The sequence below is a fragment of the Homo sapiens genome, chromosome 2 (genome assembly GCF_000001405.40).
Source record: "Homo sapiens chromosome 2, GRCh38.p14 Primary Assembly".
NCBI lineage: Eukaryota > Metazoa > Chordata > Mammalia > Primates > Hominidae > Homo > Homo sapiens.
The window spans coordinates 54,880,715-54,897,263 of record NC_000002.12 but is presented as its reverse complement, the minus strand read 5'-3'; the positions used below and the strand labels follow the sequence as shown (position 1 = coordinate 54,897,263).

Genomic DNA, 16,549 nt, shown 5'->3' with positions numbered 1-16,549 from the left:
AACATATTTAAACCAAACTACCTCAAGTGTAACAAAATAAGAGAGAAAACAAAGTTTAGATCTTACAGTATTATTTAAATCATATTGGGGCATAAATCTTCTAAAATATCTAGCAATATAGCATACATGGAAACAATTTACATTCTCAAACATTTGGAGATTAAAAAGTAAATAAATACTTTTCAGTAAAATTAAATTAGAAGTTATGGCCAGAAAAAAAAAGATTTAGTTTGGAAGAAAACAACAAAAGCAAGAACAGCTGGAGAACAAAGACCTCATTGCCTCAAGGATGCATCTCCAGCCTAGTTCTCTAGCCTGGCTGCAAGGCACGACCAGCTGCAGAGCTTTCGAGGTTTGTTTTTAACATAGATTTTTTCTTTTAAAAACACAGACTTGTTCAGGATATCCAGGGTGGGATTTGGGCACCTGTGTTTTTAAAGCCTTGCAGTGTCCTGAGCCATAGTGTATATGCACATGTGTTTCCATGATACAGTAAGTCAGAGGGACCCTCTCAGTGGGATTTGGGGATTCACTCGTAATACAGCAAGCCTGCAGGCATCAATCACTCAGAGATCAAGGCAAGGAGGGGAAGCTCCTGCACTGGAATCTTGGAAGTTCTGACTGCTCATATGATCAGTGCATTTTCTTTTCTCTCCAACTTCTGAACACACATCCTTCACCCCTCACCATGCCTCTTCCACCTAAATATGGTCTTATCCATCACCAAACTGGGCAGGACTACCTAACGCACCTCCACATCCTACCACATCCCCATCCTTGAGGTGAGATTTTATCATTTCTTGGCTCCTAAAAGGTTCTGTTACATTTATTTTAGTTCAATTTTACCTAAATATGACTTTTGAGGGAAGACAGGGACTAAGGAGGATGCAATTTGCTTATGTGGACCAAGGCTGAGACTATAGTGAGGCCCACATTCCAAAGGGGCACAGGTGCATCTGGCATGTGGGGAGCAGGTAATTTGTCTTGTTCATTTTATGGACGGACAGATTGACAGGACTTACATCTAAGGCACTTCTTCCACACCTGGACCCAATTTAGATAATGAGATTCTGGACTTTGAGCAGATCCTGTAATGTGATAAGGCTCTTGGGGACCTTGGAGGTGGAGGTAAAGGATTCTGTATGTGGTAGGGACATGAATAACTGGTGGCCAGAGGGTGGCCAGTGACGGTGACCCTCATACTCCTCTTGTGTTTTCACACTCTTGCATAATCACCTCCCTTTGAGTGTGGTATGACCTGTGACTTGTTTCTAACCAACAGCATATGGCAAAGGCAATGGAATGTTATGATTCCACATATGTGATGACATAATTATGTAACATAAAATTGTAGTATCTATTTTTTTCCCCTCTGTTTTTGGCTTTGAGAAAGCAGCAATGTTGGGAAACCCTATGTGGCAAGGAACTGTGGGCAGCCTCTGGGAGCTGAAAATGGCCTCTGGCCAACAGCCAGCAAGAAAAAAAAAAGCCTTTAGTCCTACACTTACAAGCAACTTAATTCTGCCAACAACATGAGTGAGCTTGGAAAAATCTTCCCCAGTTTAGCCTCAGATGAGACCATAACCCTGGCCTTTATTGCAACCTTATAAAACACTAAGCAGAAGATCCAGTTAAGCTGTGCTCAGATTCCTGATCCACAGACACTGTGAGAAAATAAATGTGTGTTGTTTTAAGCTGCTAAGCTTGTGGCAATTTGTTACACAGCAATAGGTAACTAGTTCAACTCTTGTGCAACCCTGAGAGTGAGTGCCTCCTTAAGTTTTGCAACCTAAGCATCAACTTTGCCTCACTCTAGTCCCAGCCTTGATGTGAACTGCAGTTTAGAATACATACAAACAGTACCTGAACAAGCAGTGTCATTGGGCCACTCTTATCAATTTCCAGAATCTCTCCATTTTTTGTTCCCACCAGGATATGTCCATGTCCCAAAGTGATGGCACGAATTGAAGGGTTATCTTCCAAAAGCAAGCCTGGGGAAGGGGATGGTATATTTAACACAATAACAAAAACAACTGCTTATTAGTATAAATTCAATTTTTATAGCTCCAAAGAACTAGGTACTAGGCAGTCAGCCTTGACATTTCTACCAGAGGAAGAGAGTTCTAAACATGGAAGAGGGAGAAAATTGATTTGCTAATAGTTTTCTAAAAACTTTAGTACAATCTTCTCCATCCCTATGAATACAAAGATCTCTATTACATGTTTGGGAGTGGCACCTTTTGAGCTAGTCGACAATGCTGATCTTTTAATGGCATAAGTCTTCAAACATCTTTCAAACATATCATCCCAGAGCTCCACGATGCCGTCCTTTCCACCTGTTACAAAGCCCTGTGAAGGCACACATGAGAGGTATTATATACACATCAAAATGACCAATTACCCACTTGGCCCCAGGAGGATTCCCCGCAGGTAAGGAAGCTTTGTGGATGCTACCTTCCTAAATATATGAGATGGAAAACTCTGGTGATAACAATGTTCGAATAATATTTTTTGGGAGCATTTCTCCCATACTTCCCTAAGCAAGATTAAGCACGTTCTCAGCATGTGTCCACTGCACTCTCCTCAGAACAATGGTTGGCAGCTGGCCCACTGATCAAGGATGGCTCTGCTTGTGCCCAGTCTCCCAACCAGAATGTGGTTCCTACAGAATGGAACCAGCCTCAAAACCTAGCAGAGTTTCTGGTATCTCACATACTCTGACCAAATGGATTGAAGTTAACATCACAGTTTAAAATTATTGTTAAACATTTAAAAATAAAAGTCATGTCCAGAAGAAAACATCATTATTTATTAAGAGTAGCTTAGGTACTTTATATAATGAAACGATCCTATTTCATTCAATAGACACAATTTCCATAATTAAAATCCAGATTAATTTTTACAAAAACCTGGAAAGTAAAAAGCTTAACATATTGGATATTTTTTACTGAACAGTGATCTTTATTCCTGTTCTAAGCTTATAATTTTTTGGCTGTACTAGTTTTCCTTTCTGGTAATTTATTATATATACCAACTGTTCTTAGAGGTTTTTTTTTTTTTCTAAGAAAAAAGCTGAGTAATTCACTGCTTTCTTAGCAACTTTTAATTTAATGCATTTTTATGAAGTTTACAAAGAAATAATATTTCCAAGTGTATAACACTAAATATCCTTATTCTTATATAGAATTTGTACCCAGGAAAATTCAATCCCCAAATTAAATTAAAATGCAATATATTATATTGTGATATCCTTGTCTTTTCTCATGATTTTGCAGCTTAATTTACCAAACAACAAGAGCTTAAACAAGTTACACCATATCTACTTCTGGGCCTACAGAAATTCTTTCTTCTTCTTTAATCTTTTCTAATACTTGCAGTTTAACCAAAAACATATGTACCAATAAAAAAACAAAACAAAACAAAACAACACCTTTGCCAGCAAAACAACCGTTACAGTTGCATACCTAACAAGAACCTACTTTTGTAGTAGAATCAACACATTTGCCTAAGGACAGGTAAAAGAAAATTGAGACATGGGTTAGGAGTAGTAGGTGGCTTCAACTGGAGGTCAGAGGGCACAGATGAAGTGGTACTACCAGCAACCTGGAAATAACTGAAAAGAAGTTGATATTTGCTGGCAAGTTGATTGAATAAAGTGTTTTAAAACACTGAAGGTGCTATGGTTTAAATATTAGCCCCCTCCAAAACTCATGTTGAAATTTAACTGCCTCTGTAACAGTACTAAGATGTGGGAACTTTCAGAGTTGACTAGACCATGAGGGGTCTGCCCTCATGAATGGATTAATGCCATTATTGTAGGAGTGGGTTCATTACTAAAGGATGATTTCGGACCCTCCCACTCTTATTGGCCCTTCAGCCATTGGGTAACACAGCAAGAAGGCCCTTCCCTGTTGCAGCCCCTTACTCTTGGACTTCCCAGCCTCCAGAACTGTGAGCCAATAAACTTCTGTTCATTATAAAGTACCTAGTCTCAGAAATTCTGTTACAGCAGCAAAAACAGACTGAGAGAAGGTAAGTGTAATCTTTGTAGAGGGACACTGCAAGGCAAGTAGACAGACCAGGGCAATTATGATGAGCTTGAATTGTAATATGGCCAATGAACAGCCTTCACTCTAACACTCTTGTTAAAGCTGAGCCTTTCTACACAGGAGCAAGTTGGTTATGGATGCAAATTTATCGTAGCAAATGGACGTCTGGAACAATAATGTAACCATTTGGTACTTTCAGGTCTCTGCCCATTGTGTCACCAAGGAGGAAGACAATGCTGAAGTATTTCTCAGGACTCTTCTGCTGCTAAGTGTCCACATTTATCCTGGCACTTCTTAAGGGACTCTCATGAGTGGGCGCCAGGAAGAGCATGTGTGGAAAAAGTGCAGAGAAGTTGCATATAAAGAAACAACTGTAAACGAAATTATAAAAATATCTTTGCTTTCCTCCCTATTGTCTCTTGACTGAGCTTTATGACAACTACTTCCTAATTCAGACAGGCCTGTTTTAGATACAGGCATCCTCTTGGGCCATCCTAAGACTACCTTATAATTTTAGAAGGCTGATGAGGAAAATGAATGCTGATACACAGGCCATACCTTATCCAGTGCATACATAGCAAACACAGGCCCATCATGAGCTTTCACTGTCTTCAGTAGTAGAATGTCTTTCCAAATAAAAATATCTCCAGTAGCTGCTCCTGAGAACACTAGATCTTCCATTCGTCCGTAAGAAACACACATCATTGTTTCCAATTTTCCAACGCTTCCAAAAGTTCCTCTTTTAGAAGTGAAGCCCCCACCTAGAGTGGACCAAGAACAGTTATTACTTTATAAAATCTGGCACTTCCTATAAGCATGTAGAAGGACTACTTCCATGAGAAACCTGGTGTCTCTCATTAGGTATTTATGTAAAGATGTCTAAAAGTGACAGAGAACATCATGAACAAAAATATTCTAAGAATATTTCTCATTTATTCATTAACTCAGTGTTTACTGAATCCCTACATGTGGTAAGTGCAGCGCTCACTGTTGGGATATGAAGATGAAAAGAGGGTTCCTGTATTCAAGGAACTCAGAGTCTGGCTGGAGAGAGCAATCAATATGCATCTCAGTCCAAGACATGCGTCTAACTGAGGCTCAGCACAAGTTCTGTGTCAGCCAAGAGAAAGAGTGACTAAGTGCCTGAAGGAGCAAGCAAAGTCTTCATGAATGCTGACCAAAAACGATAAAAATAGTACTGACTGTAAATGTAAAATATAAGCATGTTATATATGCTCTGCTTATTTATAACAGCTATTTTGGGGTGAGAAAAAAGAATTGTTTTGTAGGAAAAGGTAGTATACGGGACAAGCCATTAGATTTGTCCCTTACACATTCACATTTCCCCACACTCCCTGTCACTGAGAAACCCAGCTTTATTCAAGACAGCTACACACAGGCTGGCTCTCCAGACATACTGGGTGGCATTACCTTCTTTTAAAAGCAAAATGCACTGGAACAGAACCTTATTCACATTTTGTGCATAATAAGTTAGGGCTTGGCACCAAAGCTGATACTAAGAATTCAGATTCAATTGTATTAAGTCTGACTTATTAGTGAGAAGAATGAGATATCCTCTATGTTTTCTCATGCTTATTTACTCATCATTATTATCAACATTAAATCCACCAATATTTATTGGACCACCTATTTGTGGGCAGACTCAGGGTTTAATTCAGGTTTAAATTCAGTAATAGATAAATAAAGGAACCATCCAAATAGATAAAATTTTATTCACTCAACCAAAATGATTATTTTATTTCCTGTGCAGTAGTCTAACATAATTACTGCTTTCAGAACAGATGACTAAATATAAAAATGATTATTTTCACAGCAGAACATTTTCCAAAGCTTTCTAGGTATTGATGAATATGCATAGCGTCATATAGAGTGTTCTAAGCTTCAAGCGTTCTAAGCGAACTTGGGAGATAATTTTTTTAGGCACATTTTTATTTTAGATTGCAGAGACAAGCGAGGTAGTAGCAACAGTTTGTTTTGTTTTTCTTTCCAGCTAGGGTAAAGCTCTCAATCACATAAATGATAAACCCAAACGACAGTACCTGCTTGTTGCCAGAATTTGATGTGTTTTATCCCAACTGTAACCAGTTTGTCAACATGGTGTGGGTTACACTTTACCACAAATATCTTATCTTTATGTCCTCTGTAAGAGACAAATAGGAAATAAGATTCTAGTTTGGATGGAAGCAGTAACAGTTTTATTAAAAGCATGCATTTGGTCTAATTTTAAGCACATCTAACAGGACCATTAAATTAGAAAATGGTTTAAAATCCACACGGGCATCTACATTAAAATAACGAGCTTTGGCTTTTCTTTGCATGTTTGAACCCTTTCTTCTTATCCTAATATTGCTGCCAAAGTTTATTTACTTATACTTTAAGCAAAGTAATGAAATATTTAAAACATATTGTAATGTCTCCATAAGATAAAATTAATGCCACCACTGTGGGGTTGCAAGTAATTGTGGGGATGTGCAGAAGGAAAGAGATAGTATTGACTTCTCTTTTCCTCCTCTTGTGCAGGAGGAAAGAGAGTATTAACGAAAAGCTTCACATGAATCACTCTTGCTGTGGAAAGCATTGCTCTGGGTTAAATGGGTTTTCAGCTGGAAACATATTGTTTAGAAGTTGAAGCCCTGGACCCACAGCTATGGAAAGAGAAAGGATGTCTTCTATTGATTCGAGGCACTTTGGAATGCTGCACAGAGAGGTAGGTTTATAACCTAAGGGGCAGAAGGACAAACATAAGTGCAAAGTTCCATTGTAGACCTGGGCTGTAGACTTGGCATCTCACAGCATGAGAGGGACTATTTGATGGTCTTTGATATATTAGGACATAATTTTAATAATGTAAAAAAAGCAATTAAAAAGAAGAACATGACTGACCGATCTGCCTTACGAATATAGAGACAAACATCATAAATATTAGCAAACAGAATCTGAAAGCATATTAAAAACAATACATTAGGACCAAACACAAGGGTGGCTCAATATTAAGGAATCAAGTAATACAATTGATCATATTAATAGATGTAAAGAGAAAAATCATATTATCATTTTCAGATGCTGAAAAGGTATTTGACAAAAACCTAACAGTCACCCATGATTTAAAAAATAAACCACTCAACACCCAATACAGTAGAAATTAAAGGATGCTTCAGACTTGTCATTTAGACATTTGTATTTCCCTGTACTTTGTCATTGAGAAACCCAGATTTATTCAAGCTAACTACATATAGGCTGGCTCTCCAAACATGCTATGTGTCATTATCTTTTCTTTAAAGATAGAACACACTGGAATAGCTTATTCGTCATATTTGTGTGTGCACACTCCAAGGACTGTTACTTAATGGCATTCCCAATAGAGTCAGGATAATTACCACTACCATTTAACATCGTATTGAACATATAAACTAATGCAACTAGAGGAGATTTTAAAAGGCACAAGAGCTGGAATGGAAGAGCTAAAACTATTCATATTTGCAAAGGATATATGTCTAAAAAATTAAAAAGGAAATTTTAAAATGACTACAAATAAGACATTTTAGTAAAGGTACAGTATATAAAATTGAATACCAAATCAATAACCTTTGTATATACAGTGACTGGTTGAAAAATATAATGGAGGAGAGGACTCTATTTATAAACAATAAAAATAACAAGGCATAAACTCAACGAGATACATGTAACATAAAAGTGAAGAGAGAAAAAAAGACCTGATAAGTAAGATTAAAAAGGCAGACTTTAAAAAACAGAACTATATCCCATGTTCTTGGAAAGGAAAACTCAATCCTAAAGATAGCAGTTATCCCTTAGTTTATAAATTCAACTTAGTTCCAATAAAAAGACCACGGGGTGTGTGTGTGTTTAATCTGGAGTTAGACAATTTGATTTTAAAGCTCTCATGGAAGAATAAGCCAGCAGGAATGACCAGGAAAACGGAAACAGAAAAGCAGAGTGCAGAGAGTAGCTCTCCTAGGTATTAAAACAATCTATAAAGGCTCCATAATTAAAACAGTATAGTACCTGTGTATGAGTTGACTGACAAATGGCAAAACAGAAAATCTTGAAACAGACACAAATGAATATAAAAATGTAGTGTATAACAAAGACAAGGTTTTACATAAATAGCAAGAGAAAGATGAACTTTTAAAATAAATGGTGTTTGATGCCAAATGCTGGCTAGTCTGTGGAGTGCTAAGAACTCTTGTTAATTGCTGGTGGGAATGCAAAATGATACAGCTATTTTGAAAGACAGTTTGGCAATTTCTCACAAAACTAAGCATATTCTTACCATACGACCAGCAATTACATTCCTTGATATTTGCCTAAATAAGCTGAAAACTTATGTCCACACAGAAACCTGCACATGGATATTTATAGCAGCTTCATAATTGTCAAAATGTGGCAGCAACATAGATGTCCTTCAGCAGGTGAATGGGTAAACAAACTGTGGTACATCCAGACAATGGATATTATTCAGCACCAAAAAGAAATGAACTACCACATCATGAAAACACATGGAAGAAATGTAAATATATATCATTAAGTAAAAGAAGCCAATCAGAAAAGACTACATACTATATAGTTCCAATTATATGACATTCTGGAAAAGGTAAAAACTACTAACATGGGTAAAAAATTAGTGGTTGCCACAGTATACAGAGGAGGGAGGAGGGATGAAAGGATAAATAGGCAGAACACAAAGAACTTTTAGGGCAGTGAAACTCTCCTGAATATACTGTTGTAACTGCAGAATCAGCCCAATCTGGTTCAACTTTATATAATACAATGGTGAGTTGTTTTTCAGTTATCATGTAACCCAGGTTGCAAGTTACATCACCTGATCATGCCCAGATGAACCAAGCATGCAACCATGGGTGGAACCTTAGTGCTTGGCCCAAGGAACAGGGACCAAATTAAGAACTACACACCTCATGGCATGATCCAGTCCTATCATGTCTCCCGGCCACACTGCATTATAAGATCCAATCAGATCATGCCTCATTACCCTCTGCTATGAATCCTGCCCCAGCCCCCAGCTCGAGAGAGATATTTGAGCACTGCCTCCTGTCTCCTTGCCCGTCAAACTGCAATAAAGTCTTTCTTTTCACAAAAGCTGGTGGCATAGTATTGGCGTCTATGCTTTTTGGGCAGCAAGCCCATTGCTAGCTTGGTAACGCTACATGAAAAATATGTGTCAATATACATTTGTCAAAACTCGCAGAATGTACAAAACAAGTGAATGCTAATATAAACTGCGGACTTCGGGTGATAATGATATGTCAAGGTAGGTTCATGAATTGTAACAAATGTACCGTCTAGTGCAGGAGGGTGATAGTAGGGGAGGCTGTGCATATGAGGAGGCAGGAGGTAATGGGAACTCTCTCTACTTTCTGCTCAATTTTGCTGTCAATCTAAAACCACTCTAAAATATAAAATCTATTTAAAAAGGGAAAAAATGGAACACCTTGGTAGCCATATGGAAAAAACAGAAAGCTGGACCTGTTCCTCAGATACTAGGATAGATTCTAAACTATTTAGAGACTTAAATATAAAAGATGAAGCCATAGAACATTAGAAGAATAGGTGATTTCTTTTTAATGTGAGAATGGGCAGTATTTTTCTAAATACAAAAATCTTAAAGCAATAAAAGATTAATAAATTTAACCACATAAAAATATAAACCTTTTGCTTGATGAAAAACACCACAGCAAATTCAAAGGATGAATGACAAACTGGGAAAAAAATCAGCAAGTTATAGACAAAACTCAAATAACCCTAACATTTAAAGAATCACTTTCTGTGAGAATTATATTTCAGAGAAACCAAATGGTTCACGAGGGAAAATTGTTTATAAAATAATTCTAGCTAACGTGAAGAATGAATGATAAAATTAGAAAATTGCCACTTTGAACCCTGAACTAAGTAACCAATTTAGCCCAAGGTTGTCAGCTGATGCTACAACCATTAGAAAATGTGGTGATGGGGAGCTGTATAATGAAAGGATCAGGTCAATGCTCCCAGAACCCACCAACTGAGCTGAGTATTACTGACAGCAGAAAAATTAGATGTTCTGGGCAGTAGTGTACAAAAGGGTGGTGCAGGGGAAGTGGTCCATCCTGGAGGGAAGGAATTCCATCACTAACATTGTTTAGAATTGCCAGATAATGGGAATAATAAAAAGCAGTATGGCTTTTAGTTATTTTCAAATTCTCTACAGATAATATACCCCTATTGCTTGCATCTGGGAAGGACCATGCCTACTGCCTCCCTACTCTCTGGTATACCACCGATTTTATCTTTTCTGATGTGACAGGAAGTACCTATAAAGCATTCTTGCCTAAAAACTTGAACATGGGTGAAATTATTTGCAAATCATATATCTGATAAGGGACCTATATTCAAAATATATTAAAACTCTTAAAACTCAATAATAAAAAGACAAATCACTCTATTCTACAAAGAAAATATACCCAGTCAGCACAGGAAAACATGCTCAACATCATTAGCTATTAGGAAAACCATAATGAGATACCACTTCACACTGATGAGGTGGCTATAATAAAAATGACAGACAATAACAAGTGTTGGCCAGAATGTGGAGAAGTTGGAGGCCTGTGTTTAACATTTTGAGGCACTAATGTTTTCCAAGTTGCTGCACCATTTTCCATTCTCACCAGATCTAAATGTAAAAGATGAAGCTGAATAATAGAAGAAAGAAAGAGGCCAGACGCGGTGGCGCACACCTGTAATCCCAACACTCTGGGGGGCTGAGGTGGGCGGATCACCTGAGGAGGTCAGGAGTTAGAGACCAGCCTGGCCAACATTGTGAAACCCCATCTCTACTAAAAATACAAAAAATTAGCCAGGCGTGGTGGCAGGCACCTGTAATCCCAGCTACTCAGGAGGCTGAGACAGGAGAATCACTTGAACCCAGGAGGCAGAGGTTGCAGTGGGCCAAGATCACGCCACTGCACTCCAGCCTGGGTGACACAGCAAGACACCATCTCAAGAAAAAAAAAAAAAAAAAAAAGAAGGTTAAAAAAAAAAAAAAGGAAACATTTGTGCAATGTGTAGTATGCTGATCATTGTCACAGTTGGGTGATGGGTACAGAAGGTTCATTATGCTATTCCCTCTACTTTGGCATAACTTTGAAATTTTCCACAATAAAAAGAATAGAATGTCTCTTGATCCATTATGGCTACATGAATGTGAACCCTACGATGAGAGGCAAGGAAGAGATGGAATTTTGGGGCTCTGACTCTTTGAAAATCAAAAAGTGGGCTGGACGTGGTGGCTCACGCCTGTAATCTCAGCACTTTGGGAGGCCGAGGCAGGGGGATCACGAGGTCAGGAGATCGAGACCATCCTGGCTAACACGGTGAAACCCCATCTCTACTAAAAATACAAAAAATTAGCCGGGCGCGGTGGCTGGCGCCTGTAGTCCCAGCTACTCAGGAGGCTGAGGCAAGAGAATGGCGTGAACCTGGGAGGTGGAGCTTGCAGTGAGCCGAGATAGCGCCACTGCACTCTGGCCTGGGAGAAAGAGCAAGACTCCATCAAAAAAGAAAAAAAGAAAATCAAAAAGTGAATATGGATATTGGAGCTAGGATACATTACTGGACATATCGTTAACAATTAGGGGAGAAAAAGATCTAAAGACGAAATGTGTTTAACACCAAGAGAAGAAATCAACCAGATAACCATAAAAACATTAAGCATCCAAAAAAAATTTTTTTTTTTTTGAGACAGAGTTTCGTTCTTGTTGCCCAGGCTGGAATGCAGTGGCATGATCTCGGCTCACTACAACCTCCGCCTCCCGGGTTCAAGTGATTCTCCTGTCTCAGCCTCCTGAGTAGGTGGGATTACAGGCATGTGCCACCATGCCTGGCTAATTTTTTATATTTTTAGTAGAGATGGTGGTTTTACCATGTTGGTCAGGCTGGTCTCAAACTCCTGACCTGAGGTGATCCGCCCGCCTCAACCTCCCAAAGTGCTGGGATTACAGGCGTGAGCCACCGTGCCAGGTTTTTTTTGAGACAGCATCTCACTCTGTCACTCAGGCTGGAGTGCAGTGGCGCAATCTGGGCTCACTGCAACCTCTGCCTCCCGGGCTCAGATGAGTCTCATGCCTCAGCCTCCCAAGCAGCTGGGACTACAGCACCATCATGCCCGGGTAATTTTTTGTATTTTTAGTAGAGACGGGGGCCGGGCTGATCTGCAACTCCTGACCTCAAGTGATCCACCTGCCTCAGCCTCCCAGAGTGCTGGGATTATAGGCATGAGCCCCCATGCCCAGCCCAATGATTTCTTGATTGGAGGAAAATCTCCCTAGATACAAAATCATTAATATATACTTTAGAGAGACTAGAGAAAACCAAAATGAAAATAACAAGTACAGAAAATTATATTTCCTAGAGATAAAAGATTGTTTCCTTGTATTTATACAATGCCAAACATTTACAAAAATCTTTTTTGTGAGAACTTTTTAGTTTACATCTGATTTCTTAGTGCCATTGTGATATTACAAAATACATATGTGGTCTTCAATTCTCCCCCTCCATTTCCTGACCTACTACTCCTACAATCCTTAGGATCTCCATGGAGGTCTTCTTGTATGCTCATGATTGACTTGATGGCCGCCAGCCCAGAGGTAGCTTCAGGATGGGTCACCAGAAAGACCAAAGCAGTAGTAGAGGATTGGGACTTGCAGCCCCATTCCTGACCTTCAGGGAAGGGAGAGGGATCAAAAGATAAGTTGCTCACCCATCGCCAGTTGGTAAACCAATCATGCCTATGTAATGAAGCCTCCAGTAAAAACTCCAAAGCACAGGGTTTGGAGAACTTCTAGAGAGCTGAACACAAGGAGATCCCTGGAGGGAGGTGCACCCAGGGAGGCCATGGAAGCTCTGTGCCCCTTCCTACGTGCCTTGCCCTATATAGCTTCCCAACCATAACCTTTGTAATAACCTGGCAAATGAAGTAAGTATGTCCGAGTTCTCTGAGCAACTCCAGCAAATTAATCGAACCCAAGGTGGGATGAGGGGAACGGTCTCAGAAACTGAGCCCTCAACCTGTGGCATCTGAGGCTACCTCCAGGTAGACAGTGTCAGAATAGAACGGAACTAGAGAATACTCAGCAAACAGAATTGTTTGCTTGCTGGTGGGGAGAAATCCCCACAAGTTTGGTCACAGAAGTCTCTGTGCAGATTGTTGTTGAGTGAGAAAACGGAAAAAGCACTTTGAGTTTGGGTGAGAGCTTTTGTTGTCCTACTCTATGTCATAAAAACACCAAGGTTATTTCTGTTGTGGCTAGTTATAAAGTGGCTAATGATGGCATGTAAATGTTTAGCTAATGTCAATATATAAATAAAGAACACACTGCATACCTGTCATTTTTCTTATACACACTTGTTAAACTTGTAGGGAAGTTGCCTGCAAGTGTAGGTGTGTTTGTGCACACATGTGCATGTGTGTATGTGTAAGCAAAACAAAATACAAAGAGTTTGTCAGATCTTAGATGGCGAGAATAAGAACTTACACACTGTGCTGCTGTCCTAACACTGGATGATTCCTCACGCCCCATCACAAGGAATTCACCGCATAGGGCCATATAAACCCACCAGCAAGCACGAAGGAAGGAGCCTCTTCCAGAGGCCAAGGGCAACTGCACACTGGGTGACTTGGTTTCCATACTGTCCATTCAGAACTCTGTTTGCATAGAGGCCCAGTCCTGTGTGTAATTTTGTTCTCCCTTTCTGTGGCAGTAGCCTTTAACAGGAAGACTGATGAATGTTTGATACATATACTAACTCCAAAAAAAATTTAAATTGGCTGAAAATATAGAATAATATAGAACAAGACAGGTAACAAATTAGAACACAGTGAGATGATGTATTAGTGAGTGAAAAAAACCAGTTATAGAGCATATGTACAATACTCCACATGTAAATAAAAATGAATACAAATACTAGAAAAATACACACTAAAAGATATATGCTAAAATGTTAACCATGGCTACATCTGGGTAGTGGAATTATAGATGATTTTCCTTTTATTAAGTGCTTTTCCCTGCTAATTTTTCTATAATGATCATATATTATTTGAAAAACAGAGGAAAGAATAAGTGTTATTTTAAAAAACAAAGTGAAAAAGAAAAGGGGCCCATATGGTATGCGGGAGACTCTATCATAGTCATTAAATGCATGTAAAGGTAGGGACCTAAAATAGATCAAGCGATGAAGCTAATACAGAAGTGCTTACTTGGAAGTTCGATACGCCTGCCATATGCATAAGCTTAGTGTGTCCCTAAGCTTTCTTTTTTTTTTTTTTTTTGAGACGGAGTCTGGCTCTGCCGCCTAGGCTGGAGTGCAGTGCCGTGATCTCGGCTCACTGCAAGCTCCGCCTCCCGGGTTCACGCCGTTCTCCTGCCTCAGCCTCCCAAGTAGCTGGGACTACAGGCGCCCGCCACCAGGCCTGGCTAATTTTTTGTATTTTTAGTAGAGACGGGGTTTCACCCTGTTAGCCAGGATGGTCTCCATCTCCTGACCTCGTGATCCGCACGCCTTGGTCTCCCAAAGTGCTGGGATTACGGGCGTGAGCTACCGCGCCCGGCCTTTGTCCCTAAGCTTTCTAGCAGCAAAACTTTCAGATTAGCCTGGGAAGTGTTCTTGTTGATAATTCTTTTTTGTCCAAGATCCCTCCTATTCATTGTTCCCCTAGTCACACTACCAGAGTAACACAAGCACAAATAAAGGAGCACAGATGTACCTGATTAATCATTGCATTATTCTGCCCTGATTGACAGTGATGTTACACCCTGTAACTACTTCTATAAGAGATCAGCCTTGGTTCTTAAATGGGATACTTGTATACTAGACTAAAATTGGAATGATCTTTAGGGAAAAAAAAAAAAAAAAGACTAAAAAATTCATTTGTAATGGAGGTAACCGAAATCACTCATAAAAATTAGCAAAGATTGCATGCGGGGAAATTGTTTAAACAGATCGGATCGTCTCACAGAGATCTTGAAAATAAAATCTTGAGTATCTTGTAAATAAGATCTCTATGGTCCAATTCTGAATTTCTCTAGTTTCTGTGAGCTGCTAAAGAGTAGGTTCATTTAAAATATTCTCACCAATCAGGGGAGGAGCAACTTCTGAGTGCCTGGTTGCACAGCTGGCACACGTCAGCACAGCCACCAGCAGCACAGCTGACGATGCCACCACAGCTACCAACCATGCTCCTCCTCTGTGGAGAAATCTCACTTCCTGGGCGATGAGTGGTACAGAACAATCACCCTTGCCAAAACAGCACAGCCAGCCAGAAGCAGGTTAATTGTTCAGCCTTGCTCTATAAATGAGGCTGGCAGTGATCGAGACACAGAAGTGTAAAGTGAGGGGTAGGACTGAATCAGCTTCTCTGTGAATTAGGCCCTCTTGGGAGCTTAGATGACCCTGGAAGCAAGGTATCATTCCGTTAAGGATTACTTCGTTGTCGCTTCTATCATGCCCCTGTTTAAATTTTTTTTTTTTTTTTTTTTTTGGGACGGAGTCTCACTCTGTCACCCAGGCTGGAGTGCAGTGGCTAAATTGTGGCTCACTGCAACCTCTGCCTCCCAGGTTCAAGCGATTTTCCTGCCTCCTGAGTAGCTAGGATTACAGGCGCCCGCCACCACGCCTGGCTAATTTTTATATTTTTAGTAAAGACGGGGTTTCACCATGTTGGCCAGGCTGGTCTCGAACTCCTGACCTTAGGAGATCCGCCCACCTCAGCCTCACAAAGTGCTGGGATTACAGACGTGAGCCACCATGCCCGGCCTCCTGTTTTTAAAAGTTTCTATCTACTTAAGCACTCTAAGGCCATACATATAAGCTTTATTTATTTGTCTAAATTTCTTATGTATTTATGTAAATATGTATCATTGTTAATATTATGCAAATAGATATTTAAGTAACTTTTATTTACTTTTTACTGTAAAATCTACTGTTCTTCCAAAGAACTTTAATCCTTGATATTCCTGCTTGGAAACAGCACTGGCTAATGTCAATCCAAAATGTTCTCCTGGGCAATTCTGCAGGTATCCTGTTTTGGGAATGTGTCATAAGGCTTGGGAGCAATTCCAAATATGAATTGTGTTATTAACATAATGGTGTTAAGTCAACTTTGTGTTAAATAGAGGCAGTAACACTATCCAACAAGTATATAAAATATATACTATTTTAATATTAAGAAATATTTCTTTCTTCCATTTCTATTAATGTTTCGGGCATAAAACTGGTGAGCCACCCATAGCTGCAGAGGGTTTTCTAGCAGGAAAATTGCATTTCTGTTGCTTTTGAAATCCAGAAATGTGCTTTCCCTGAAATTATCTGTAAAGGCAGATGGTATATTATCAGAAATATTAAACTTAAATTCTGTATTTTAGTCTGGGGGGAACAGAGTTCTGATGAGAAGCTGAATCTGAGTACTACTAGAA

General features: G+C 39.4%; 1 protein-coding gene across 10 annotated transcripts in view; it reads right to left on the bottom strand.

Moving 5' to 3' along the window:
- Nucleotides 1–16,549, bottom strand: part of EML6 (EMAP like 6) — a 248,474-nt gene that overhangs the window by 74,762 nt on the left and 157,163 nt on the right. For all 10 annotated transcript variants that reach the window (XR_001738743.2, XM_017004098.3, XM_047444299.1 and 7 more), the window contains 4 exons: nt 6,110–6,210; nt 4,608–4,810; nt 2,238–2,349; nt 1,864–1,991 (listed from right to left, as the gene is read on the bottom strand). Coding sequence is in view for 9 of the 10 variants with exons in the window: in XM_017004098.3 (XP_016859587.1) it covers nt 1,864–1,991; nt 2,238–2,349; nt 4,608–4,810; nt 6,110–6,210 (544 nt within the window). In the remaining variant the exon portion in view is untranslated. The remainder of the gene's footprint in view (nt 1–1,863; nt 1,992–2,237; nt 2,350–4,607; nt 4,811–6,109; nt 6,211–16,549) is intronic.